The sequence below is a fragment of the Homo sapiens genome, chromosome 16 (genome assembly GCF_000001405.40).
Source record: "Homo sapiens chromosome 16, GRCh38.p14 Primary Assembly".
In the NCBI taxonomy this organism is placed as follows: Eukaryota; Metazoa; Chordata; class Mammalia; order Primates; family Hominidae; genus Homo; species Homo sapiens.
The window spans coordinates 87,270,722-87,298,014 of record NC_000016.10 but is presented as its reverse complement, the minus strand read 5'-3'; the positions used below and the strand labels follow the sequence as shown (position 1 = coordinate 87,298,014).

Below are 27,293 nucleotides of genomic sequence, written 5' to 3'. Positions count from 1 at the left end.
GAGGGAGCTGTGACTTCCTGGACCTGGTGGGGCCAGGGGAGGTGAAATGTGGGGTAACCGTTTAAAGGGTTTTGGAGAAGATGCTCCTGTTGTCTGCACCCTGGACTCAAGTCAGGAGCCCAGAGAAACACTCTGTCCCTTCCTCCCCATCTCCCTTCCACCCAGCCACACAGCCCTCCCTTCCTCCTCCCCTGCTCCCTTCCTTTTTCCTCCCCTCTGCCTCTCTTCCCCTCACTCTGCCCCAGGCCATTAACTGGGTAATGACCACACAGCCCAGCCCTGCCCAGTGGAACTTTCTGTGATGGTGGAAAAGTTGATCTGTACCGTCTGGTTCAGGAGCCATGAACCACATGTGGCTGGAGTCCCACTGGCCCAGCCAGGCCGCCATGGCAGGTGGAGGCACTGCAGTCTGCCCAGCCTGGCCCAGTCCAGGCCTTGGTGGCTTCTCGGGCTGCTCCTGGCAGTGCCTGGCCCCACCTTCTGAGAGCTCTCTGGTGACCCATGTGCCAAGACTTGAGGCCTGGGAGGGGCCGTGGGGACACTGGTCCAATCACCTCATTCGCAGATGGGGACAGTGAGGCCCAGAGAGGGCCATGCCCTGTCCCAAGCCCCACAAAAGCTGGTGGCAGATGCGAGACTTGGCCTTGGCTCTCCTGCAGCCCATCCAGGCCACCTTTCCTTCGGCGGCCTCCCAGTTCCAGGTGCTGCCTCTCCACTTGTCCACTCTGGGGAGACCCTTTCCAAGCCTCCCCGTTAGAGGAATTGCAAATGGGTTGTGCTGCCTGGGCACTGTAGCAAAGACCCCTGAGGTCACCAGGCCCTTGAGGAAGAACCTCTGTGATCACTTAGTGATGTTTGGTCCAGGCTGGGCTGAGGCTCAGTGGTGTTGAGTGTCATGGAGCTTTTGTAGCTGTCCCAGGGACTCTTGCCATGCTTGACACACAACAGGTGCCGCATAAGTACTTGTTGATTTTGGATACCTGCTGTTTTCTCTGGTGGGCATTGCACTGGGGGATCTGGGAGCCCTGGGAGTCCACTGGGGCACTTGGAAGCTTCCTGTTTTCACTTTTGTCATTTCCAAGAGAGATAGTGCTGTTTGAGGCCCCCCCACCGCTTTTTTTTTTTTTTTTTTTGAGACGGAGTCTCGCTCTGTCGCCCAGGCTGGAGTGCAGTGGTGCAATCTCAGCTCACTGCAAGCTCCGCCTCCTGGTTTCACACCATTCTCCTGCCTCAGCCTCCTGAGTAGCTGGGACTACAGGCACCTGCCACCATGCCTGGCTAACTTTTTGTATTTTTAGTAGAGATGGGGTTTCACCGTGTTAGCCAGGATGGTCTCGATCTCCTGACCTCGTGATCTGCCTGCCTCGGCCTCCCATAGTGCTGGGATTACAGGCGTGAGCCACCGTGCCCTGCCGAGGCCCCGTTTTTATGTTAAAACAACAAACCTTCAGGCCAACCCATGAGCAGTGGAAGGGGCGGCATTCCGGAGGAGGCCACCTTGGCATTCCAGATGTGGGGATGTCGTCTCAGCACCAGCCAGGCAATTGTGTCCTTCCCAGCACACTGGCAGGGTGTGAGATTCCAGAAATCACAGGACACCAGCTCCCTGGTCCCAGGTGGGGAGCAGGAGGTGGTGGAGAGCAGGTGTCCGCGTGTGTCTTCGGCCACTCTGCCCTGGCTGCTGAGGTTCGCCCCTCACATCGCCGACAGCATGGGCTCTGGGCAGTGGGAGATCCTGGGTTCTGGGGTGCTTGCAGCGCCAGGCAGAGTCCCCTAGGAGGTGATTGTGAAGCACAGCTCCTTGCCCACGTGAGCTTCAGGAGCCTCAGCCTCCACCCTGCACCCCCAGCTGACCTCTGCTCTCTGTCTGAGCAAGGTCCTCCACCCACTGCCCTTTATCCTACCTTCTCTCCTTCCTCCCAGAAACCGTTCTGCCTATAAAAACAGGTATATGAATCTGAAATTTTTAAAAGGGGCAAAGTTTAAAAAAAAATCTAACCACCTTGCATTTTCCCTCTTCTCTGCTCCGTGTTTCCTGTAAACTTGTAGTTGACCTAAAGGTTTGATAGACTGGCCTGTCATATTTTCTGTAAGGCGGCTTCCTGGGCCGGGCTCCGTGCCCGCCATGCATGTGTCAGCAGGCTCACGACGCTGTAGGCCTCACTCTTGAAATGCAAAGACTGACCAGGAGGCCCTGGCAAGTCAGCCCGAGCCCAGCAGACCTTGCCCATGGCTTTAGCATCCCTTGGTGATCATGAACTGGATACACTGTTTCACTGGGGCCTACAAAATAGGACTCAAAAGCTTTTAGAGCCGGGCACAGTGGCTCATACCTGTTATCTCAGCTCTTAGGGAGGCAGAGATGGGAGGATCGCTTGAGCCCAGGAGTTTGAGAACTGCCTGGGCAATATACCGAGACCCTGTTCTCCACAAAAAGGTGTGTAAACTCCTGTGGTGTAATGAACATTCAGCAGGCTCCTCCCCTTAGATAAGGGAGTGTCTGTAAATTCCTGTGGTGTAATGAACCTTCAATAGGCTCCTCCCCCTAGATAAGGGAGTGTGTGTAAGCACCTGTGGTATAATGAACCTTCATCAGGCTCCTCCTCTTTGCTGTCTGTTTCAGACATGAACTGTGAGCTGAATAGTCTGGTTCACATCCTGATTCCGTAGCTTACTGTGTGTTGGATCTCTGCGCCTCAGTTTCCTCATATTTAAAATGGGGATAATAATGGCTTCTACCTCATAAGGTTGCTATGATGATTTAATGAATTAATAATTATAAAGCACTTTTAACAGTGCCTGGCAGGCAAGTGCTCAGGAAGTGTTTGATAAATAAATGACTAAATCATTGGTATTTACCATTGAGGTGCATTGTTTGCTCTGTGTGTTCATGAATGGTCCTGGACTCTTGAGCATTGTGGTCCATGTTGCACGCGGCCCAGGGGATGATGAAGGGCAGTGTTCCAGATAGCCCTGTTGTTGGACTGCTAATCTGACTCTCTTGTTTTGGTTTACGCATTTTACGAGGTGCCTACTATGTGCTAGGGGACGTCCCAGCACCTCGTGGGCTGCTGACAACCGGTGTGAGTCCTCTTAATTGGCTTCTAACATAACTGCACTCTTCCTGAGCTGTTTAATGGCCTTGAGTAACGAGCTCTCCCCATCTCAGTATTTGTTTAATGCCGTATTCATGGTCATAAATAGTGGCACCATTACTTTCAGGAGAACTGTAATGATGTATGTGTTTGGTGAAGTTTCCAGCTCCTGACCCTTAGGTGCTAGATCTGTTTGAGGCCATGTGAAATGTTTTGCGTCACTTGCAAGAAAGAAAAAAGAGGTGCTGTTTTTCCTCAGAAAAGGAAGAGGCATTTTACAGCCAGACCTTGTTCGACTGTAGAACATTTGTCAAAGACTGCAGAAAACAAACATGGACATTTCTAGTACTTCTCCTAAAGGAAGGAGTTGGGCTTCTTACAACCAGAACAATGATTCTGTTCCTCCATTTGCTAATCTGTTCATCAGTACCCTCATCCACTCATCCATCCATCCATCCACCCACCTATCCATCTGTTCATCATTCGTCTACCTATCCATCCATTCATCCTTCAGGCACTCATTCATCCTTCAGTCACTCATTCATCCATCCACTGACCCATTCACCCAGCCAGCCAGCCAGCCACCATCCATTCATCTACCTATCACTCGTCCATCAACTCGCCCATCCACTCAACAATTCATCCACTGTCCTTTCATTTACCCCTCCATTTACCCACCTACTCACCCACCCATCTACCCACTCATCCATTTATCCATTCACTCACACACACTCTCATTCACCCACCCACTCATCTGTTCATCCATTCATCCATTCATCCATCCATCCATCCACCCACTCACCCACCCAGCCACCCACCTATCCACATACTCACCCATTCACCCAGCCACTCATTCATGTATTATCTGTCTATCTATACACCTACTGATTGACTCATCCACGCATCTATGTAAAGTCAAAACATGGTTAGGCCCAGCCATCGTAAGCCAGGGCTGCCCGTCTGTTTTCTTTGTTTTGTGCATCTTGCGTCCCATGTGTCCCCTTGCACTGGAGTGTCAGCTCCCAGAGACTGGGTACTGCAGCTGATTTGCTCATCCTGAATGGGACACAGGTGAGGACAGGATGGAAGAGGGGCAGGTGGGGCTGTGTCGGGGAGGGGCAGGGGCAGAGGAGTGGAGGAGAGGAGGAGCTCAGTTGGAGGGGCCTCTGAGACACTGAGGGGTGACACTGGCTCGCTGGTTGGATGAAGAGTAACACTGAGCTGCCCAGGCTGAGACGCAGTCTGGGGTCCAACAGCCCTGGTGGCAATTGGTGAACATAGCCCTCTGGGCAAGGCCAGCGACTTCAAATTTCTGGATGTTCATTTTTTTACCTGCTAAGTGAGGTAGTGCTGGTGACGTGCTCAGCCAGTGCCAGGCACAGATTGAGCTGCAGGTATTGAATGCATCCTCCATAGTAATGTCATACTCTGAAGCAGGTACCATTGGCATCCCCATTTTCTAGATGAGGAAATGGGGGTGCAAAGCTTGGATTTTGGCTCTGCTGCCTCTCACGGTGTAGATGTGAAATGTGCAGGGGCCTGGGAGAGCCAGAGCCCTGGAACTGCCCTTTGCTACCCAAGTCACTGTGACTTCCTTTCAGATCCCTGGGGTCCCTTAGGGTCCTGGTTCAAGGGCTCGATTGGAAGGAAACCAAGAGGCTGTAATTGTCTACCTCTGGAAACAGTGAAAAGATGTAAAACGAAAATATTATCATGTCATCATTTCTTTTCTATGGAAATAGTTACTTTCCTTCCCACCCACCCCACCTTCAACTGCTCTAAATACGTTTTCTTGGGGTTTCCAAACATCTCTTTTACTTTTGTCCTCCCAGGTGAGAGAGAAGCTGATTATGGCCAGGTCTGGCACAGAAAGCCCCTGTTTGTGCAATCCTGCATTCTTCCTTTTTAAATAAAATTTAAGACCATCTGAAACGACTTGCCAGCTTGACCTCCCGGCTCTGGTTCTCACTTGAGTTTCTGAAATGCTTATGAGTCCAGCCTGCTAATGTGCTGAAATGACTGTGCTCACCTTAGGGAAGTGTTAATGCCTTGAGCATTTTCCCACCAGTTGTCTTGCAGCTGGTGAGAAAAATACGCACCAACCTCCCCCATGGACTGTGAGGTCACAGCCTTCCCATCCTTTTCAGGAGCTGCCATCTCAGCTCTTGATTCTAATGGATGGCAGCCACACTTGAAGACGCACCAGAGGAAGACGTAGCTGCTCCCATCTGTGTTCCCAGATGGGATGGTGTCCTTGGGAACTGATCTCAGACATGTCGTGGTAGCCAGCCTCCAGGATAGCCCCCAGCAGTCCCACACCCTGGAATTCACGTGCTTGTGTAGCCCCTCCTACATTATATCACATAGGTCTGTGTGACCAATAGAATCTGCAGAAGTGATGCCACAGTACTTCCAAGATTAGGTCATAAAAGGTCCTGTTGCTTCCCTCTTGGTTTCTTTCCCTCTCTCTCTCCTCTCTCCTTTCTCTTGGACCCTTTGCTCTGGGGAAACCAGCTGCTACATCACCATCAGCCTTGTGACCATGCCACATGGTAAGGAGCTGAAATCTCAGCAGCCACATGAGTGAGCTCGGCAGCGGATCCTTTAGGCCCCGTCATGCAATCCTGGATTGCAGCCCTGGACATCCACTTAACTAGCAAGACTGAGCCAGAACCACCCAGATGAGCTGCTCCTGGATTCCCAACTCTCAAAAACTGTGAGAGATGTTCAACGGTGGTTGTTTGAAACTGCTGAGTCTCAGTATAATTTGTTACACAGCACTAGCTAACTCATACACGTCACGTTTCTGCAGCAGAATACCTTGGACCTGGGGAGAGCTGGAGATAATTACTCAGTACCACCCAGTACATGGGAAAGTGATTACTGACAGGCTCAGAAATGTTAAGAAGATGCTTAAAAGAAATGGGCTCATGAGCCTTCTTTGCTGAAGTATTAATTACTAGATCTGAATGTTTTGCTTTTCTGTGATGGAAAACGTGAAGAAAATAGGGCTTTTTTTTTTCTTTTGAAGAGATGGGATTTCCCTCTGTCGCTTAGGCTTAACTGCAGTGATTCAGTCATAGCTCACGGCAGCCTCAAACTCCTGGACTCAAGCAAATGACTGATATTTTTTGAGCACCAGCAGTAACGATAGTTACTATTCACTGTTTTCTCCCTGCCAGGTGTTCCACAGACATCCTACATGCATGACATTGATTCACTCTTACATTTGACAGGTGAGGAGACCGAGGCTCAGACAGCCACACCATTCCATGGGTTTTGTTCAAAGGGGTTTGGGGCCAGAGTAGGACTGAGTGCAACTTCATGGAGGTAGACCATGGGGAGGGCAGGGCACCTGCATGCCTGAGAGAATCTCTGCAGGAGGCAGGAGTTCAGAAACTAGCTACTTAAAGGGGTAATGATCTGTGTCAGGGGTGCTAATTAAAATTTGGGGTTTTAAAGAAAAAGTTGGCTGAGTGTGGTAGCTCATGTCTGTAATCCCAACACTTTGGGAGGCCAAGGAAGGTGGATCATTTGAGGTCAGGAGTTCGAGACCAGCCTGGCCAACATGACGAAACCTCGTTTCTACTAAAAATACAAAAATTAGCTGGCCGTGGTGGCGGGTGCCTGTAATCCCAGCTACTTGGGAGGCTGAGGCAGTAGAATTGCTTGAACCTGGGAGGCGGAGGTTGTAGTGAGCCAAGATCATGTCACTGCATTGCAGCCTGGGGGACAGTGTGAGACCCCATCTCAAAAAAAAAGAAAAAAACAACTTTCCAGTTCACAAAAGGAGTGCTTTCACTGAATGCAAGAATAGATTTTCCCTCTTGGTGTGTAAAGTTCTCAGTCATCTGACCCTCTCTGCCAAGAGAGCCCTTCCCGCCCCATTTCTGCCCGTTTGGGCTCCTCTTCCTGGAGAGGCTGCTCCCTGGTGCTGTCCCGTGCTCCCAGCCTGTCTTCCTTCAGGGTCCAGGCCGGAAGCCTTTGGGGGCAGTGTTGGGGCTCCGCATGTGCCCAGTGCTCAGCCCAGTGCTGGGGCAGAGATGGTGCTCAGGAAAGATCTTGAAAAATGAGCAGGTCTCCAGCCGAGGGGAATCTTACACCTTCCACCTGTTTCCTCAGGATTGCAGGAGCTCCTCAGACAAGATCTGTGGCAACAGTAACAATAAAAGCATCCCATGCGGACCAAACTCCTGCTGCAGTAAGAGCTAAACATATGGTGTCTTACTTTGCCCTCGTTATTACCCCTGAGGGCAGATGGTGCAGTCCCTCTTTATAGAGAAGGCTATAGAAGCCCCAGAGCCATCAGGAATTGGAGGTGATGCCTAAAGCCGGCAGCGCCCAGAGCGGGGTGTTCAACCTGGCAGGGTTGTTAGGGCAAGAGGATTGCGGGGGGAGGGGGGGTGGGCGCAGCACACCCTCCTCCTCATACCACCTCACTTTGTCTCCCACTGCCCCTCCAAGCGTCAGCAGCCCAGGCCACTGTGTGTGCCAAGTCTCCTGTATGTCTTTCGCCTTTTGCTGAGGAAATGCTATTGTGAAGACAAAATGAGAATCAGTCACTTAGGGGCCAGGTGCAGTGGCTCATGCCTGCAATCCCAGCACTTTGGGAGGCCAAGGAGGGCAGATAACTTGAGCCTGGAAGTTTGAGACCAACCTGGGCAACATAGTGAGACCCCGTTCTATAAAAATTAAAAAATTAGCCAGGCATGATGGCACACGCCTGTAGTCCCAGCTACTCAGGAGGCCGAGGAAGATCTCTTGAACCCAGGAGGTCAAGGCTGCAGTGAGCCGTGATTGCGCCACTGCACTCAGGCTTGGGTGACAAAGTGAGACCCTGTCTCAAAAATAAGCCCCACCCCCCAAAAAACCCAGTTACTTAGAGCTTTGCAGAAATCTTCAAAATCTATCAAAACCATCCCATCCAATATAAATTACTGTATACATTATAACGAGCTAAAATAAGCACATTTTTGGTAAATTACTAAATTTCATAAGTTCCTCAAGTTGGTTTCATCCAGTAAAATGCTCCCTTTGGGGAAGTGGCACGAGGAGAATCAACTGAAGCCAGGACTGTCGCTCGTCCTGGCAGGCAGTTGGGACCCGGTTCCATCAGGGACTTTCTGAGGACGTGTGCAGGCTCCACGGGGGTTACTGCTCTCTCCCTGCGCTGGTGTGGGCTGTCCCACAGGGTGACGTGTCCTTGGCATTTCTGTGGCTGGATGGCTTCTGCAGGTCCCATGAGGCGGTGGCAGAGAGGCTGGGCTGAAAGCAAGATGTACATGGTGCAGCTAGGCAGTGTGCTGGCTACACCTGTGCACAGCTGGTTGGTGCAGAAATTTCTGGAGCAAAATGGCGTCAAGGTCATGGAGTGTCCAACATGCCAGCCTCAGAGACTGACCTGCTCCTCCCCGCCATGCCCTGGGCTTTCCCACACACCTCCTTTGCTCACACAACTCCCTTTCTATCCAAGCAGGATCACGTTTGTCCTATGCAAAGTGGAAAATGGGCCATTCCATTGACCAACACCCCATTTGAACATCTTTCCGTGGACTTTACTGGCTGCTCCTAGGCCTAGGATTCGGGCATAAAGCCATTAAGATTCATGGTAACATTTACATGTCAAGGGCAGTTTGGAGAATATTTATTGGTTGGTTTGCTGTGAAATTTGCGTGTGGTTTATACATTTGTCTTCAAACCGGCCAGACTTTCCAGGGTCTTCCCAAGGTCAGACACAGAAGTGCAATTGCTCATCACAGGATAAATGTGCATTACAGATGTTGAGGAGATGAAAACATTCCTTTTCCCGACATAAGCTGTTTGTGGTTCTCTTTGTCCCTTTCTCTAGGCAAGTTTATTTTTCCTGACTGCCATTACTAACTAAACTCTGTCTGCCTCACTTACAAGCTCCTGGGAGGGAACCGAGTCTTGGGAGGTAAAATTGATGATGGACTGTTTTCCAGACCAGGGCTTGAAGACACAACGCTTGTTGGCAGTTAACCAACTTCCTGGTGAGCCCCATATAGGAAATCCACATTCAGCTTCTTAGGGAGAGATCCTGACTTTCTTATAATGAATAAATGTATGACACTAAACACTTCACTTGTCCATTTAACAAATATTTGCCAAGCACTCATCACACATCAGGCGCTGGGCTTGGTACTGTACGTGTGTGAAGTCATTTAGTTCTTTTCATAATCCTATGTCATAGACTTTGTTCTCATTTTACAGGTGTGGTTGGTTGGTCAAAGAGAGAAGAGTAAAAATTTCTTCTACCCCTTCCTTTCTGCTATTTTTTCATACATTTCACTTCTACATGTATTACAAATGCCACAGTACATTGTTATTGTATTTGTATTTTTATTATTTAATGTTTTATTATTAGTAGTATTATTTGAAATGGAGTCTCGCTCTGTCACCCAGGCTGGAGTGCAATGGTGTGATCTCGACTCACTGCAACCTCCGCCTCCTGGGTTCAAGCGATTCTTCTGCCTCAGCCTCCCGAGTAGCTGGGATTACAGGTGCCTACCATGCCTGGCTAATTTTTGTATTTTTAGTAGAGGTGGATTTTCACCATATTGGTCAGTCTGGTCGCAAACTCCTGACCCCAAGTGATCTGCCCACCTCAGCCTCCCAAAGTGCTGGGAATACAGGTGTGAGCCACTGCACCTGGCCAGTATTGTTATTTTTATTCCTGTTTTTCCAAATAATTGTATTTGTATTAAACAGTTAACAATATCTCTTTGGCTATCCTAGGGTTTACAGTATACATCCATCTTTAATTTTTCACCATCTACCTACAAATAAGATATCATGCATGTGTAATGGAAGAATTTCATAGTTCCAGTTTGTCCCTCCCATCTTTTGTATATTGTCATACATGCATTTAAGAATCCAGAATCCTTTGCTTCTATTTTTGCCTTAGACCAGGGGCGTCCAATCTTTTGGCTTCTCTGGGCCACATTGGAAGAAGAATTGTCTTGGGCCACACATAAAATACACTAACTAACACTAACTATAGCTGATGAGCTAAAACAAAAAAAAAAAAAAGAAAAAGAAAAAAAAATATCTGATCATGTTTTTAAAAAGTCTACAAATTTGTGTTGGGCCACATTCAAAGCTGCCCTGGGCTGTGTGTGGCCTGTGGGCCATGGGTTGGACAAGCTTGCTTTAGACTTTAAATATTTTAGAGTGATTTAAAAGTTCTTTCATCCAAACCTTCATCGGGACAATTTCCAGAGCTCTTTGTTTCTGTGTATGAACCGAGTTTCTGTCTGGTTTCATGTTCCTTCTACCTGAAAAAGTTCCTTTAATTTATTGTAGCACAAGTCTACTGATACTTAGTCATCTCAGATTTTATTTTTCTGAAATTAAAAAGTTACTTTCACTTATGAAAGATATTTTTCCCTGGGGTAGAAATCTGTGCTGACAGTTATTTATCTCTCAGCACTTTAAAGATGACACTTCATTATCTTCTGGATTATATAGTTTCTGATGAGAAATCTGCTGTCATTCTTAACTTTGCTCTTTAGTTTCTTGGGCTGCCCTTAAATATGTTCTCTTTCTCTTTATTTTTTAGTAGTTTAAATATTATGTGTCTTTAAAATCCTGCTTGGGATTCTCTAATCTTCTTGGATTTATGACTTGATGTCTTTGATTAATTTTGTAAAATTCTCAGCCATTGACTACGAATATATCTTCCACCGTTATTGTTCCCTCTTTTTCCTTCTTAGATTCCAGTCACATGTGTGTTAGATTATTTATATTGTCCCAAGGGTTTTTAAAACATCATCGTCATCATCGTTGCCCTCCTACCCCTCTCCCTCCTCCTCCCCTCCATCTCCTTCCCTTCCCCCTCTCCTCTCCTCTTTCCCACCTCTTCCTCCTTCCCTCCTGCTCTTTCCCCACTCCTCCCCCGATCTTCCTCCCCTTCTCCCGCTCCTCTCCCTTCCCTCCTCTTCCTCTTCCTCCCCTTCTCCTTCCCCTCCTCCCACCCCTCCCCTGCCCCTTCCTCCTTGTGTTTAGTTTGGATAATTTCTATTATGCTGTCTTAAGTTCGTTCCTTTCCTCCACTGTGCGGAGTCTACTGATGTTCATGAGAAGGACATTCTTTATATCTGTCACCACCTATTTTATTTCATAGGCCTCACCTCATTTGTTTCTCCTCCCTCAGGCATGATCTCTTAAATTGATGACCGTTTCATCAGTTTCATTTTCTTAGCTCTATAGTATGGCAGGATGAGTCTTGTATTTATTATTCTAGCATTGCCAGAAACATGCCTTTATTTCAAACTTGTCTTTGCCTTTAATGTTTATTTCTTGTAGGTAGCATATCATTGGTCTCCTACCTGCTTGGATCAGAATGAGCAGGATTTTTCTGAGTCTGGGCCAGCATTGAGAACAATCTCAGATACATTCTTTATGTGCTCATAGAGACTGCAGCTTGATGTTTCTGAGGTGAAAAGGGAGTGATGGGTGTGCAGTGTTAGGACTGCTGACTCTGGGATCAGACAGACCAGGTTCACATCCCAGCTGGGCAGGACACTTAGCCTGTCTGAGGCTTGTTTTCCTCATGCATGGAAAAGAATGACAAATGATTGTTGTGAGAATTAACTGGAGTGATCCCTATCACCCTCTCTCTCCTTTACCACAGGACTGGTGTTCAATAGATTTTTTTTTTGAGATGGAGTCTCGCTCTGTCACCTAGGCTAGAGTGCAGTGGCACAATCTTAGCTCACTGCAACCTCTGCCTCCCGGGTTCAAGGGATTCTCCTGCCTCAGCCTCCTGAGGGGCTGAGATTATGGGTATGCACCATCATGCACAGCTGATTTTTGTATTTTTCGTAGAGACAGGGTTTTACCATGTTGGCCAGGCTGGTCTTGAACTCCTGACCTCAGGTGATCCACCCGCTTCAGCCTCCCAGAGTGCTAGGATTACAGGCATGAGCCACTGCACCTGGCCTCTTCAACAGATGCTTATTAAATACTTTTGAATGAATGGGAGCTTTTTAAAGTTCTACTGGTTTCTTAAGATAAATATGTAGTTCCAAATCATTCATTCTGTTCCTTAAGATCCTATATCTGGAAGATTCCACTTACCTTGCCACCAGTTTTACTGCCTCCCCTCATGCTTGCTTTCTCCAACATGCTTTTTCAAATTAATTGGAATATGTCCATTTATGCAGCTCCTATCCTGTGATGTGCCATTTGTACTTTGCTTTACCTGCTAATAGAGACATTCGATTTAGGAGACTCTGATATTATAGAAAGAGCCTGACTTAGGAGTCATGACAACAAACATTTTTTGCCAGCTTGCTTGCCATGTGACCTTGGACAAATCTTTTAGCCTTTTTTGAGCCTCAGTGTCTTAGTCTGTAGAAGAGGGGGATAATAATTATAAAGAGGGATAAGGGGCCTGAGGTGTCAGAACCAGATCAGAGGAAGTCCTCAAATACTTTTCTTTCTCATCCTCCAACCCCCAACCCCCATTTCTCCTGTGATTCCATTAGATGTAGGCAGGGGCTCGAGCCAACCAAAGATCCCCAGTGAGGACGGGTGGGAGAGGTAAGGAAAGAGAGGTGTGCACTGTGTTTTCTGGTCATCACCTGGCATTAGCTGTTACCTTTTTTTTTTTTTTTTTTTTGAGATGAAGTCTCGCTCTGTTGTCAAGGCTGGAGTACAGTGGCGTGATCTCGGCTCACTGCAACTCTGCCTCCCGGGTTCAAGCAATTCTCCTGCCTCAGTCTCCCAAGTAGCTGGGACTACAGGCGCATGCCGCTACGCCTGGCTAATTTTTTGTATTTTAGTAGAGACCGAGTTTCACCGTGTTGCCCAGGCTGGTAGTGAACTCCTGAGCTCAGGCAATCCGCCCGCCTTGGCCTCCCAAAGTGCTGGGATTATGGGCGTGAGCCACTATGCTGGGCCTTTTGTTTTGTTTTGTTTTGTTTTGTTTCTTTTTTTTTGAGACAGAGTCTCACTCTGTCATCCAGGCTGGAGTGCAGTGGCGTGATCTCAGCTCACTGCAACCTCCATCTTCCATGTTCAAGTGATCCTCCTGCCTCAGCTTCCCAAGTAGCTGGGATTACAGGTGTTTACCACCACGCCCGGCTAATTTTTGTATTTTTAGTAGAGACAGGGTTTCAGCATGTTGGCTAGGCTGGTGTCGAACTCCTGACCTTGTGATCTGCCCATCTCAGCCTCCCAAAGTGCTGGGACTATAGGCATGAGCCATCGCGCCCAGCCTAGCTGTTACTTTTGATCTCCTTTCACACTCAGCTAAACTAACTTTTAGTTCACTTCCTGTATTTGTCTCTACCCTCCTGAAAAGAAAGCAGAATATCAACCTTAGAATGCACAAGAATTGCAAAATTCTACCCCTAAAGTAAGATGGTTGTCTTTCTTTAGAGAACAAGCTCTGGGGGTGGGAAATTACTCTGCCAGTGCTCCCCAGGCCCCTCCCCTTCCATATCTCCAAATCCTGACAGCCTAATTGTCAGCAAGGAGACAAATCTGATCCACAGACACTGCCGCAGAGCAGAGCAGCCTCCCCAGGGCCTCTGGACAGCATGGGGAAGCAGGTGGTCCAGGAAGAGAACCTCATATCCCATTACTTGACTCAGTAGGAGGGTTTTCATGATCTTGTAACTCAATGTGTGTTCCATGGATCAGGCTTTGGCATCCCTTGGAGCTTAGAAAGACAGAAATGCAGCCTCATTCCCGACTCCAGATGCAGAATCTGCACCTTAACCGGACCCAGGTGACATGTCTGTGCCGTAAGGTTTCAGATGTGCTGCTTTGTATGGCCAATGAGGGGAGTTTGGGACGAGCCAGAGCTGCAGGCATGGAGTGGGTGGCATTTGGTACAGTCTGGGGCTGTCAGGCAGGCTGCACAGCAGGTCCACAGGAGCCTGTGGAGAGGTAGCTCGAGTGGGGACAGCTCTGTGCCCAACAGGCTGTGACCCAGTTGAAACCCTGCCTCCCATTGCTCCCCTAGTTATGGGGGCAGGGAAAGTGTCACCCTGTAGACAGGGACAAAGAGACTGCCTGGGTGTTCAGGGGATGCTGGAAATGCCAGCCTTTTGACATCTGGAGACCTGGAGGGGGTCTTGTGCCCTGGTGGTGGTTGGGGGTAAGGAGCAGCCTCTCCTGCTGCAGGGAGAGGAAACCCAGTTCAACCCTTTCCCCAGTCTACTGAACAGAGAGACCCTGGGCAGCTGTTCTTTGGAGATTCGCTTGTCTCTACTTCTTTTCTTTTTTTCTTTTTCTTTTTTTTTTGAGACGGTTTCACTTTGTCACCCAGGCTGGAGTGCAGTGGTGTAATCTCAGCTTACTGCAACCTCTGCCTCTCAGGCTCAAGCCATCCTCCCACCTCAGCTTCCCTAGTAGCTGACACTACAGGCACATACCACCATGCCTGCCTAATTTTTGTATTTTTTTGTAGAGACAGAATTTCACTATGTCGCCCAGGCTGGTCTTGAACTACTAGACTCAAGTGATTCGTCTGCCTTGGCCTCCCAAAGTGCTGGGATTACACGTGTGAGCCACAGCACCTGGCCACATTATTTCTTTTTAAGAGATGGCTCTGTTGCCCAAGCTGGAGTGCAGTGGTGCAATTATAGCTGACTGCAGCCTCGACCTCCCTGGCTCAAACTATCCTCCCGCCTCAACCTCCTGAGTAGCTGGTACTACAGGCATGCACCACCAAGCCTGACTAATTTAAAGAAAAAAAATTTTTTAGAGACAGGTTCTTGCTATGTTGCCCAGGCTGGTCTCAAACTCCTGGCCTCAAGTGATCCTCTCGCCTTGGCCTCCAAAAGCATTGAGATAACAAGTGTGAGCCACCATGCCCAGCCCATGTACATGTTTTTTATGGACAGAGGTTTGCATTTCTCTTGGGTATATACCTAGGAGTGGAATTGATGAATCATATGGTAAATCTATAGCTAACATTTTGAGGCACTGCCAAGCTGCTTTCAACAGCAGCTCCACTACTGCCTTCCTACCAGCATTGCGTGTGGATTCTAATTTCTCCTCATCCTTACCAACTATTGTCTGTCTTTTTGATTCTGGCCACCCTAGCAGACATGGCGTGTGGTATCTCGTTGTGATTGCGACTTGCTTTTTTCCTGATACATCCTCTCGTGTGCTTATTGGTATCTATCCATTTCTGAATCTTCTTTGGAGAAATGTCTCCTCAATGCTTTGCCCCATTTTATTTGTTTGTTTGTTTGTTTGTTTATTTATTTATTTATTTAGAGACAGAGTCTCCCTCTGTCTCCCAGGCTGGCGTGCAATGGCGCCACCTTGACTCACTGCAACCTCTGCCTCCTGGGTTCAAGCGATTCTCCTGCCTCAGCCTCCCAAGTAGCTGGGGACAGGCACGTGCCGCCACCCAGATAATTTTTGTATTTTTAGTAGAGATGGGGTTTTACCATGTTGGCTAGGCTGGTCTCGAACTCCTGACTTCAGGTGATCAGCCCACCTCGGCCTCCCAAAGTGCTGGGATTACAGGCGTGAGCCACTGCCCCTGGCCCTTTGCCCCATTTTAAATTAGCTATCATTTTATTTTTACATTGTAACATTCTTTCTGTATCTTGGATACAAGTCCTTTATTTGTTATATCTACATAATATTTTACAACCCACTTTTTTTCCCCACTACACAATACGCTATGACAATTTCCATGTCAGATTTCCTTTATGATTTCATCTTCAGAAGCATAGCACTCCATGGCATGGCTTGGTGCACCCTGATGCATTTAATCACTACCTAACGTTAGTCATTTAGGTAACATCTCATCTTCTGATATTATGAACACGGCTACAAGAAACGTCTTCGTTGTCCAGTCTTTATATCAAACTGTGACTATTCCTTTGGTGTAATTTTCTAGAACTTTCCTGGGTAAAGGGGTGTACCTGGGTTTAAGGCTTATGGTTGACAAATCACCCTCTGGAAAGATGGTTCCAATGTTCACTCCCCACCCAGGCGTGCATGAAAACGCTCGTTTTGCTCATACCATATTGAGTCTTGGGTCTAATTTTGGCAACTATTGAGAGTCTTGGTGAACAGCAAACTCCTGGTGTGGAATTTCCCAAACTCTGTGCTATGAAAACACTAATCTAGAAGATGGTTGTTGGGGGGAAATCAATGCTAGTACAATAGTAGTTTTCTCTCTAAAAATGACTATTGTCTTGAATGTAAGCACCATAGTAAATTGTGTGTGTGTGTGTGTGTGTGTGTGTGTGTGTGTGTGTATGGTTTTCATTAGTTCATTTATTGGACAAGTATTTATCAGGCACCTGGGTTATTTATCTTTTTTTTATTGAGTTGTAAAAATTATTGATATATTCTAGGCACAAATCTCATACTAGATATATGACAAGATGTCTAGTACAAGGTACTGTAAATATTTATTTCCATCCATGGATTATCTGTTTCCTCTTTGACAGTGTCCTCTGACGCTTTTTAGGTTTGATGAGGTTTATATATACATTTTTCCTTTTGTTGCTTGTGGTTTTGGTGCCATAGCTCAGAATCCTTTGGAAATCCCCAGTGTCATGAATATTTATCCCCATGTTTTAAGAGCTTAAAGTTTGGGCTCTTACATTTAAGGGCTTGATCCACTTTGAGTTAATTTCTTGTGTATGGAGTGGGATGGAGGTTCCCCCTTCACTCTCTTGTAGGTGAACATGTTTTGGCTTCCTTGTTTAGAAGTCCTCTCTGAGTATTGTGGGGAGAACGAATTGTAGGGACAAGAAGGATGCCGGGAGACGGATTTCCCACTCCTCGGTGAAAATCTGCCTTGAAGAAGGTGTGCTCCAGAGCCAGCTGATGAAGATAGAATGTGATTAGAAAACCACAACTCGGCCGCCATCATGGTAATGATTGATGTTGGAAAGAGTCATCAGTAGATGCTAAAACTAGTGTGTGAAAATTTCATAGGTAACAGGATTTTTACATAGTCTCAAAGAACCTCTTCACAGGATACTAATTACAAAGGGTGAAGTCTTAACTTTAAAGTGAAGAAAGCTGGCAGACAACACCTTAATCAATATCAGCATCATCCATGCATGCACAGATAGACTTCATGGCCTCCCGACACGCGGCACCGAGAAGGATGCAATGGAACTTCTGCGGATTTCCTGCCCGGAATGCAAACCCTGAGTCTAACCATCGGGAAATATCAGACAAACTCCAACTGAAGAACTTTCTATCAAATACCTGGCCTGAGAGAAAGACCAGAAAGACTGAGGAATGTCCCAGATGAAGAAGACTAAAGAGATAAAAAAGATGTGACAACTGACTGCAACGCATAGTTCAGTATTTTCTTTGGTACACAAGCCTTTATTGGGACACTTGGTAAAATGGAAGTCAGGTCAGCAGATTTGATAGTAACACTGTATCCAAGCAATTCTGCTGGTTTTGAGGATTGTGCTGTCTTGAGAAAGAGAATGTCTTTGCTTTCAGGAAATACACATTGAAGTATTTAGGGGCACCAGGGGTGTTATGTCTTGGGTATCAGATTTTTTTAAATTTTCACACCAGCTTATTTTTATCCCTGTTTTCCAGATGAGAAAACTGAGGCTCAGAGCCGTGAGATGCGAGCCGGGGTGGAGGCAGCTCTGCTTGGTGCCTCTTCTCTTGCTGGTTTGTGCATCCACGACTTACCTCTGCCCATCTGCTTGGTGTGAGCAGGTGCAGCTCTGTTCTGGTCCCTGGTGTAGCCCCTGAGCCTGGCTCAACTGCCTGCCCCATGACAGGAGCTCAGTAAATACCTTCTGCGTGAAGGGCCACCATGGAACTTAGCACAATTAATATCTTGGCTTTGGGGCTGAACCTTGGCTCAAATTCCAGCTCTGCTACTCAGAAGCTGTGTAACTTTGGATAAGTTAACTAACTTATCTGGGACACAATTTTTCATATCTCATTCCTATTGCATGGCGGTTATGCTGAAGATCTAATAACACAGGCTGGGCATGGTGGCTCACGCCTGTAATCCCAGTACTTTGGGAGGCTGAGGCGGATGGATCATCTGAGGTCAGGAGTTCGAGAGCAGCCTGACCAATATGGTGAAACCCCATCTCTACTAAAAATACAAAAATTAGCCAGGTGTGGTGGTGTGCACCTGTAATCCCAGCTGCTCGGGAGGCTGAGACAGGAAAATTGCTTGAACGCAGGAGGTGGAGGTTGCAGTGAGCTGAGATTGCACCATTGCACTGCAGCCTGGGTGACAGAGCAAGACTCCTAAAAAAAAAACAAATCTAATGACACAATGATGCGGATAAAGTGCTTACTGCAACACCTGGCCTGGCACAGAAGTGCAGTTCACATTTACTGAATGAATGAGTGAGCAGGTTAGTGAATGAATGAAAGGTTCAAGTGACCTCTACCTCCGGGGGACGCTAGCTTGCCCTTCAGCAGTATTTATCGGAAGTGCCAGGGAGAGATTTGCTTGGAAATTTAATTGAACAAATGATGCATCCCCATCATCTGTGTGCTTCTGCGTGTCCTTCCTGCTCTCTCTCCCACCCCGTGGAAGCTCCGGGCAGCAGCCCCTGCCTACCTCATCCGTGTCTTTCCCCAGCACACACACACTGTCACGCGCGGCCGGCACACACGCCTCCTTGCTGACAACTCCTCCTGTTTCTCTTTAGGACGTATTGGCTAGGTGTGTCCCGGTGCCAGGTCATACCCAGGGCACTGAGCGACTGTGGCTTCTGATTTTGTCTGCCCTGCACCTCTAATTTCTTCCCCTGTGGCCCCCCAATCTTGCTTATGGACGGGGCTCCCTTGGCTCGGTCATCCTCCTCCTGGAGCTCCCCTGGGCTCCTCTCCAAGGTGCTCCTTGCTCCCAGCTGCAGGAAGCCCGCATCCTCTGGCTCATGGGCCAGGCTGGTGGTGCCTGTCCTTTGACGGTGCAGCACCTGCACTCTCGCACTGCTGCCCGAGCCCAGTGAGGCCAGCCCACCCTGCTTTCCTTACGAGCACGAGGTACTCGTGCCCTATTGACTTCCTCTGCTAACTGGGACTGGAGAGGCTGGCAGCTCAGGACGTCCGAGGCGGCTGCTGGGTTCTGCAAGCCGGACACCAAGCGGGCGCCACATCTCTGCCGGCCAGGAGGTGGTGCTGTCCCCTGGTTTATGGCCCGAGGTGAAGGCAAGTAGAGACTCTCCTGCTTGTCCTGAAAATGCTGCCTTAAGATCAAGGGAAAACAATAGGTATTTGAGCCAGTTATCTAGAAGGAAAAATCAAATCAAATCAATGAGCGCAGGCCTCTATTCAGGTCCTGCATCCGAGCTTTGAGGACCCGTCTTAGAGTGAGGAAGGGACTTCTTTGAGCCCTGCCTGGAAATCCTGTGGGAAAGGATGGCAGGGCTGAGACTCAGGGCTGCTTTTCTGAGAGACGGAGACGGCAGCTCTGGGCTGTGCACAGTCCCTGCCTCTTGCCCAATGCCCCTAGGAAAGTGACGGGGCCACCCGAGCCTCAGGTCCTCACCTGAGAAATGGAGATAAAAGTTCAGGCGCCGTGGCATGGTCGAGGCGTGGTCGGGCTCCGTGGCGTGGTTGGGCGCCGTGGCGTGGTCGACGGCTATAACTGAGCCTGTGAACATGCGGCGTGGTCCTGGCCTGCTGCCTGGGACACCCCTGCTTCGACTGGGATGTTGGTCCTGTTGCTATGGTCAGAGACTGTGGGGGCTCTGAGATACGCTTGTCACTGAGAGGGGCTTTGTTGGAGGATGCAGCCCTCTTGATGTCTAGGGGAGTGGGCCTGACATTTATGGAGCACCTGCCGTGTTCAGGGACCAAGTGCACACAGATGAACACCCAACCCCGCCTCTCAGACTCACAGGGGTAAGCGTGTCCTGCTCCCTCTGGAGTTTCTGGGGAACGTGGGCAGAGTGTGGTCTCTTCTGTCCCAGGTGCGTTGGAGGAAATGACTTTTGAGCTGAGTGTTAAGGGACAATTAGGATTTCTTAGGGGGAAGTCGTGTGGGAAGGGCATTTGACAGAGGGAACAGCCTAGGTGGAGGTGTGGAGGCAGGAAAGCATCCTGCATGGCTGAAGGGCTGCGGGGCAGCCTGGAGGAGGAGGACAGGCGGTGTGTGGTGGGTCCCTGCAAGTGTGGGCATCGCCCTAGGCCCATTAGTGCAGGCTGGGGTGTTCTTTAAGCCAGGGCAAAGAAATCCCTGACAAGGAGGGACAAGTGCAGGCTGCGCCAGTGTTTGCTCTCCTCTGAAAAAGGGTGGAGGCCACTGGCGAGGTTCCAAGTGGCTTTTCTCAGAGCTCAGAGATCTCAGCCTGAAAGTGCAGAAAGGGAAAGAATCCTCAGATTCAGCAAATCTACTATTTATGTCTCTTCTCTTCCTGCTCCTTTTTTTTTTTTTTTTTTTTTTTTTTTTTTTTTTTTTGAGATGGGGTCTTTCTCTGTTGCCTAGGCTGGAATGCAATGGCGCGATCTTGGCTCACTGCAACCTCTGCCTCCCAGGTTCAAGCAATTCTCCTGCCTCAGCCTCCCGAGTAGCTGGGATTACAGGTGCCTGCCACGATGCCCAGCTAATTTTTGTATTTTTAGTAGAGAAAGGGTTTCGCCATGTTGGCCAGGCTGGTCTCAAACTCCTGACCTCAAACGATCTGCCTGCCTCAGCCTCCCAAAGTGCTGGGATTATAGGCGTGAGCCACCATGCCCGGCCTTCTGCTCCTTTCTTTTCATTTTTATTTTTTTTTGGCGATGGAGTCTTGCTCTGTTACCCAGGCTGGAATGCAGTGGTGAAGTCACAGCTCGCTGCAACCTCAACCTGCTGGCCTCAAACAATTCTCTGGCCTCAGCTTCCCGAAGTGCTGGGATTATGGGTGTGAGCTGCCGCACCCGGCCATTGCTTCATGGTTTCTCCCTCTGGTCTCAAGGCCTGGGTGTTTTTTCTTTTCCTCCGATGCTCTCTGCAGCTTCATGCTTGGGCAGGCGACTTGCGGAGCTGTTTTTGCTCTGGGTTCCTGGGCCTGGGGCCTAGGGTACCTCTGTCCCTCGGACACCTCAGTCTTATGCTCAAAGAACCACCCCTAGACTTCAGAGGCGGTCACGGGAGGTGGTCTTAGGCCCCAGGCCCCTTCCGATGCCTCCTCTGTGCTTTCTCCCGCCCGCCTGCGCCCACCACCCAGGCAAGGTTAAGTTTGTAAAAGCTCCTTTTGAATCTCCCAGAGTTTTATCTGGAGGGCCGTCTAAATCACTTCGGAGGCTGTTGGCTGAACTCAGTAAATAAACACAGGGAGCCCTGGGGGCACTGTGACTTACGGTCTCCTTGTCATTTACCCCAGAATGCACATCAGCGAACAGTGCCTGCCATTCTAAGGGGCTCTTTGACTCTGAACACACACAGAGTCTCCTCCTGGGCTGATTCCCTGCACGCTGGCATTTGGCTTTCTGTAGAGAGCCAGCATCAGCCATGGCCAGGGTTAATTCACTATGGTGGGGACAGTGCCAGGGTTGTCTGGGCTCAGGACCCAGGGATGGTGTGGCTGCCCCCATGCGTCCATATGGAGGGCAGGAGGGATCTTGCTGGTGGGAGCAGGATTTAAATGCTTCGAGGTGACACAGGGCAAGATGACTGTCCCCAGTCACGAAATCATCTCACTGGAGTGCTTGGGGGAGGGGGCAGGGCCAAGCGTCCGCCTTGCCTCGCAGAACAACATTTTGGTTTTCACACTCACCACTGAAAAGTCATTAAATTGAAAGGAAACCTGTGCCCCGTTCCCTCCGCAGTCACGCCAGCGCCGTCCCCAGGCACCTCACAGTGTAGCTTTTGTTCAGGAGTCCGGAGTGTAAAATTGGAGTGGCAGATTGTCGGTGCACACATTTAGAATTTCCTGGCTTTCATCAGCTGCGCCACTCAAATGACAATATTTAATCCCAAATGTTTCCTTCCCTTACCCTACCCCCCCATTTCATGAGTCAGAGGGCTTCCCCCCACATTTGCAAAGTAGACTTCTCTTCCATTTCTTCAACCGTAATGAAAAGTATATTTACGATTTTTTTCCCCTATGTATTTGTGATTATACAAACTCTCCTGAACATTTTAAGGGGCCTTTCTTAGGAGAAGTTGACTTCCTGGTTTTGAGTTGAATGTAACTCTCCTTTGCTGGCTTCTCCGCTCCCACCATTCATTTCATAAGGACAAGGTCATGCACATTTGAATTCTACGGGTCGGATCTCATAGCAGTAATCTTGTGCCGTTTCATTCCATTGGATGTGGCTGGAGTGATATTGCTCATTGATTTGAGTCAGGCGGCTTTTTTGTTATTTAGGGATTTTTTCATTGCAGTCATTTTTATTAAAGAAGGGTTTGTTGTAGATGAGAGAATTAGCTGAAATTTAAAACTCGAAGTTTCTTTTTATTGCTTGGTCACTTTGTAGAATCCATTGTTTAGCAAGACAGCCCTTCTGAGGCAACCCAACAAAAAGATTTTCAACAACACATCTCATGTTGGTCCTCTGATATACAGGCGCATATGCATACCATCACAGTTTACATTTTGCAGTGTGCTGGAGAGTCTCCCAAGTAACATTTCATGTCAAAGAAAGCCTGTAAAAGCGTGTCTACGAGAAGCACTTTGGAGTGAGAAGCAGGTGTGACTCCTTGGTGTGTCAACCCGAGCGGGTTCCGATCCTCTGGTATCACTGGGTCCTGGGTTCTGACACGCGAGTGGATTCTTATACCTGGGCGGGTTCTGATACCTGGCTCAGACCCTGATGGGCTGACGGTGGGGTTCACATGTCCTGTGGCCAGGCTCCCGTGCCCAATGGTCCAGTCAGACACCCATCTGGGTGCTGCTGAGAAGGTGCTGGTGGATGTGGTCAGCCTCTCCCATCAGCTGACCTCAAGGGAAGCAGATTACCCTTGACAGTGTGGGTGGGCCTTATCCAATCAGGGGAGGACCTTATGAGCAAACTCCGAGGTATTTCTGGGAGGGAGGAATTCTGCCTCAAGACCATAGCATCAGCTCCTGCCTGGGTTTCCAGCCTGCCGGCTTGCCCTGCACATTTCAGACTTACCAGCCTCCACAGTTATATGAGGAATTCCTAAAAATCTGTCTCTCTCTCTTTACACACACAGGCACACACATATTAAACCTCCTGCTAGTTCTGTTTCTCCGGAGAGCTGTGGCTGACACTGGCTGAGAGGAGCAAGGGTTTCAGGCTAGAGCTGCATAACAGTGGTCTCTGGCCACTGGGTGTCTGCAAAAATCAGAAATGTGCTTCTCCATGCCTCTCTAGCTCTTCTAGGGATTTTGGGTTGCTTTCCAGTACACACGTGTTCATGTGTGTGCATGTGTGTGGGCAGTGGCGTGTGCATGTTCATTCAGGACACACGCCACTGCAGGTGAGTTCCCTGGTGGACACACCCCCTTCAGTAGACACAGGCTATAACGCCCACAGTCACTGCCTTGGGCAGGGTCCTGGGAGAGGGCATCTGAGGCAGTGAACTTTTGAGTGGGCCATGATGACCTCTTATGGACCAAGGCTAAATCAATGGTGGCAAGCCCCAAATATCTACTAGGATGGCACTGTATGTGGGCCAAATGCAGAAGATGTTGGGGAACCATGCAGCCACATCGTCAGGTCCCCACCCAGCTCCTCCCGTCGTGAACTTGTACCGGAGCCAGCTGGCTGACCCCCTACCCCCCGGGCTGCAGGTATAAAAGGGGGATGAAATTAGCAGTTGTCTCATTGGATGGTGGGGAACGGGGGTGGGGTGGGAATGCGTTAATGCAGGTGAAGCCCTCAGAAAGGTCCCCCACTTTGGGGCACCACATAGGACGAGTGCTTTCATTCTTAGGAGGACAAGCTCCTGCTTGGAGGTCAGGTGGAGTTGGGCTCATGCTCCAGGCTGGCCCCCACATGCTCTGTGGCTTTAGGGAAGCTCCTAAACCTCTCTGAGGCTCATCTGTAGGAGGAAAGCTAAGAGACTGAGATGTCTCATAAACTTGCTGAGATGATTATGTTCAAAGAGAAGGAGGACAGTCTGTGGTGAGATGCCAGGCCTGGAGGAAGCTGTCATTGGCAGCCTGCTGTGCTGGGCACTGCTGTGTGTGCACACATTGTTAGGGCCCGGGCCAGGACAGTGAGGCACCGAGGTGTAAAACTGGAGGTGACACCTGGTCTCAGGTGCCAACCCTGCATTGCATGGCTCTGAGAGTGAGCACCTCCTTAAATTTTGCACCGGCGGGTACCTCTCTTGCTTCACCCTAGTCCTGGCCCTGCACGTTACCCCATGGAAATGCCATAACAGTTTTGCAAGGCCAGGGGATCGGACCCTTGCACAGATTAGGACAGAGGCTCAAAGAGATGGGAAAACAGACCCAAGCCCCCTGCCCCCCGACCTCCCTGGTTACTGAGATCTCGCAAGGTGGTGACCGCACCTTATTCATCTCATGTAATCACATACGGCACCTGGCATGTAGTGGGTGTCAAATAGATGCTTACAAGTATTCAGTGAATGAAAGGGAAAAGGGAGGACTCAAACTCTGATATGGCTTCATAGGAACCTGGCCGTCCACTCCACCCACGTGCCTTAGCAAAGTGCCCTTGGTGAGGCTGAGGGACTAGGCAGCCAGGACTCCTGAGGGGACCTTATCAGAGAGGGAAGCCACCTCGGACTGAGTGGTGAGTGCTGCTCTAGGACTGCCCTAAAACTGGATTTGAACAAAAGACCACATGCCGTATGACTCCATTGGAATGAAACATCCAGAACAGGCAAAGCCACAGAGGCAGGAAGCAGGTGAGTGGTTGCCAGGGGCTGGGAGAGTGGGGCCAGGAAGTGGCTGCTCAGGGAATGGGCTTCCTTTTGGGGTGATGAAAATGTTCTATAACTAGAGGGTGGCAATGGTGGCATAGCTTTATAAATGGGCTAAATGCTACAGAATTCTACATTTTGAAAATAGTTAAAATGATACATTTTCTTTTGAGACAGGGTCTTACTGTGTCTGGCAGTCTGGACTGAGTGTGGCTCACTGCAGACTCAACCTCTCTGGGCGTAGGTGATTCTCCTGCCTCAGCCTCCCAAGTAGCTGGGACAACAAGTGTGCGCCACTACATCCCAACTATTTTTTTTTTTTTTGGTAGAGATGGGGCTTCTGTGTGTTGCCCAGGTTGTTTTTTTTTTGTTTTTTTTGAGATGGAGTTTCGCTGTTATAGCCCAGGCTGGAGTGCAATAGCGTGATCTCGGCTCACTGTAACCTTGTCCTCCCGGGTTCAAGCAATTCTCCTGCCTCAGCCTCCCAAGTAGCTGGGATTATAGCCATGCATCACCACATCCAGCTAATTTCTTGTATTTTTTTTTTTTTTTTTTTTTTTTGTAGAGACGGGGTTTCATCTTGTTGGCCAGGCTGGTCTTGAACTCCTGACCTCAAGTGATCTGCTTGCTTCTGCCCGCCTCAGCTTCTCAAAGTGTTGGGATTACAGGCGTGAGCCAGGCTAGTCTTGAACTCCTGGGCTTAAGCAGTCTACCCACTTTGGCCTCCCAAAGTGCTGAGATTACAGGTGTGAACCACCATGCCCAGCCTAAATTTTACGTTATGTGTATTGTACCACAATAAAAACCCTGGAATCAACATAACTCTTTGGGTTTAAGTGACAGAAACAAGATTCAGGCAAGGCAGTGAGTAGTTCCTAGAATGGAAGCTGAGGCTGAGCAACCAGATTGCAGGAAGGGTCTCAAAACTGCCAGACTCTGTGACATCTCCACTCCTGCCTGGTTTTCCTCCATGACCAGCATCCCCCCAGGTCAGCAACACCTCTGGAGCTGAGGCTGGCAGAATGTGGCGGGGGCTCCTCTGAGAGCATGGCAGCTTCTAATGGACCCACGTGGTTAGTTTGAGAGAAACAGTCACCAGAAGACAGCCATATGTGTCCGGGCTGGGAGACCTAACATTTCAGAGCCACCAACCCTGCATCACTGGCTGACAGGTGGCTGGACATCGTGTCACCACTGTCTTCTGGGAATAAACATTTCTCAGCTTTCCATGGGAAGTCTCTGTCTGTGTCTTGTTCCAGCTCATTTAGAGCAACTATCATTTATCAAATATCCTCCCCTCCAAAGCCTCCTGGATGCCTACAAAGGCTTGGGCCAGATGGCAGAATTCACCAAAGATACAAAGGCCCCAACACGGGGATGTACTTGGAGAGGGAGAGGGATGAGGAGGTTCATGTGGGGAAGGGGTCGTCCGTGGGAGAGTCGGGATGGGAGAAGGAGAAGATGCTTCTAAGCTTCAGTCTGAGACGCAGCTGGGGGTTTTCCAGCTCATGGAGTGTTTGTGCCAAGGCAAGACAATGGAATAGGTCCCCACAAGAACAGAAACAGTCCCCACACCCAGAAGCTGCGAGTCTCCAGGGAGAACTGGGCAGTTAACGGATAAATTGGGGCCTTGCAGACTTGCAGCTCTGCTCACCCGCAGCGTGGTCCCCGGAGTGCACAGCGTGGGTTTGGGGCGTGGCTGTGCCGGTTTGCAAATCCTTAGGTGCTTGTCCAACAATGGGTCTTGGTGGTTGGGTCTGTTGCTGCTGGAATGTCTGTCGGCTCAGCTTTTGACTAAAAGCCAGTGGAAGATCTCCTTGCCGGATCCCCCAAAATAGTTTCACCCATTGCTCAGGAAAGAGATTGTAAGAGCTCTAAGAGAAACAAACAGAAAACCAACATCAAACATGAGTAGTGTCCTGGGGGATTTCCTTCCTAACCTTGGTTTTGGAGTTAATCTGCTTCAAAAGTTCTTTGACTGGTGTGTGTGTGTGTGTGTGTGTGTGTGTGTGTGTGTGTGTGTGTGTGTGTGTATGTGGGCGTGTGTATCGTGTGTGTGTGTGTATATGAAAAGAAATACTGAGAATAAAATATTCTTATTTATTTAGTTATTTTGAGGCAGGTCTTGCTCCGTCACCTAGGCTGGAGTGCAGTGACCCAGTCACGGCTTGCTGCGGCCTTGACTTCCAGTGATCCTCCGACCTCAGCCTCCCGAACAGCTGGTCCCACAGGTGTGCGCCACTATGCCTGGCTACTTTTTGCATTTTTTGGTAGAGATGGCATTTCGCCATGTTGTCCAGGCTGGTCTCGAACTCCTGGGCTCAAGTGATCCTTCTGCCTTGGCCTCCTAAAGTACTGGGATTACAGGCATGAGCCACTACACCCAGCCTATCATGGTCTAATAAAGCCTT

The 27,293-nt window shown here is 49.0% G+C and overlaps 1 long non-coding RNA gene across 1 annotated transcript, besides 3 other annotated features; it reads left to right on the top strand.

The window, feature by feature from the left end:
• Positions 284–1,270: an enhancer, noted in NCBI's record as "H3K27ac-H3K4me1 hESC enhancer chr16:87330351-87331337 (GRCh37/hg19 assembly coordinates)". NCBI's record gives its function as "activates a minimal SCP1, AML or CMV promoter by ChIP-STARR-seq in primed H9 embryonic stem cells {active_cell/tissue: H9 hESC(primed)}" and the evidence as "EXISTENCE:reporter gene assay evidence [ECO:0000049][PMID:30033119]".
• Positions 1,271–2,259: an enhancer, noted in NCBI's record as "H3K4me1 hESC enhancer chr16:87329362-87330350 (GRCh37/hg19 assembly coordinates)". NCBI's record gives its function as "activates a minimal SCP1, AML or CMV promoter by ChIP-STARR-seq in naive and primed H9 embryonic stem cells {active_cell/tissue: H9 hESC(naive and primed)}" and the evidence as "EXISTENCE:reporter gene assay evidence [ECO:0000049][PMID:30033119]".
• LOC101928682 (uncharacterized) lies at positions 5,563–26,109 on the top strand. The gene is made up of 5 exons (NR_104667.1): positions 5,563–5,647; positions 6,278–6,331; positions 7,218–7,296; positions 24,631–24,867; positions 25,861–26,109. It is a non-coding gene; the product is annotated as an uncharacterized LOC101928682 (long non-coding RNA).
• Positions 18,467–18,972: an enhancer, noted in NCBI's record as "H3K4me1 hESC enhancer chr16:87312649-87313154 (GRCh37/hg19 assembly coordinates)". NCBI's record gives its function as "activates a minimal SCP1, AML or CMV promoter by ChIP-STARR-seq in naive and primed H9 embryonic stem cells {active_cell/tissue: H9 hESC(naive and primed)}" and the evidence as "EXISTENCE:reporter gene assay evidence [ECO:0000049][PMID:30033119]".
• Positions 26,110–27,293: the final 1,184 nt, after the last annotated feature.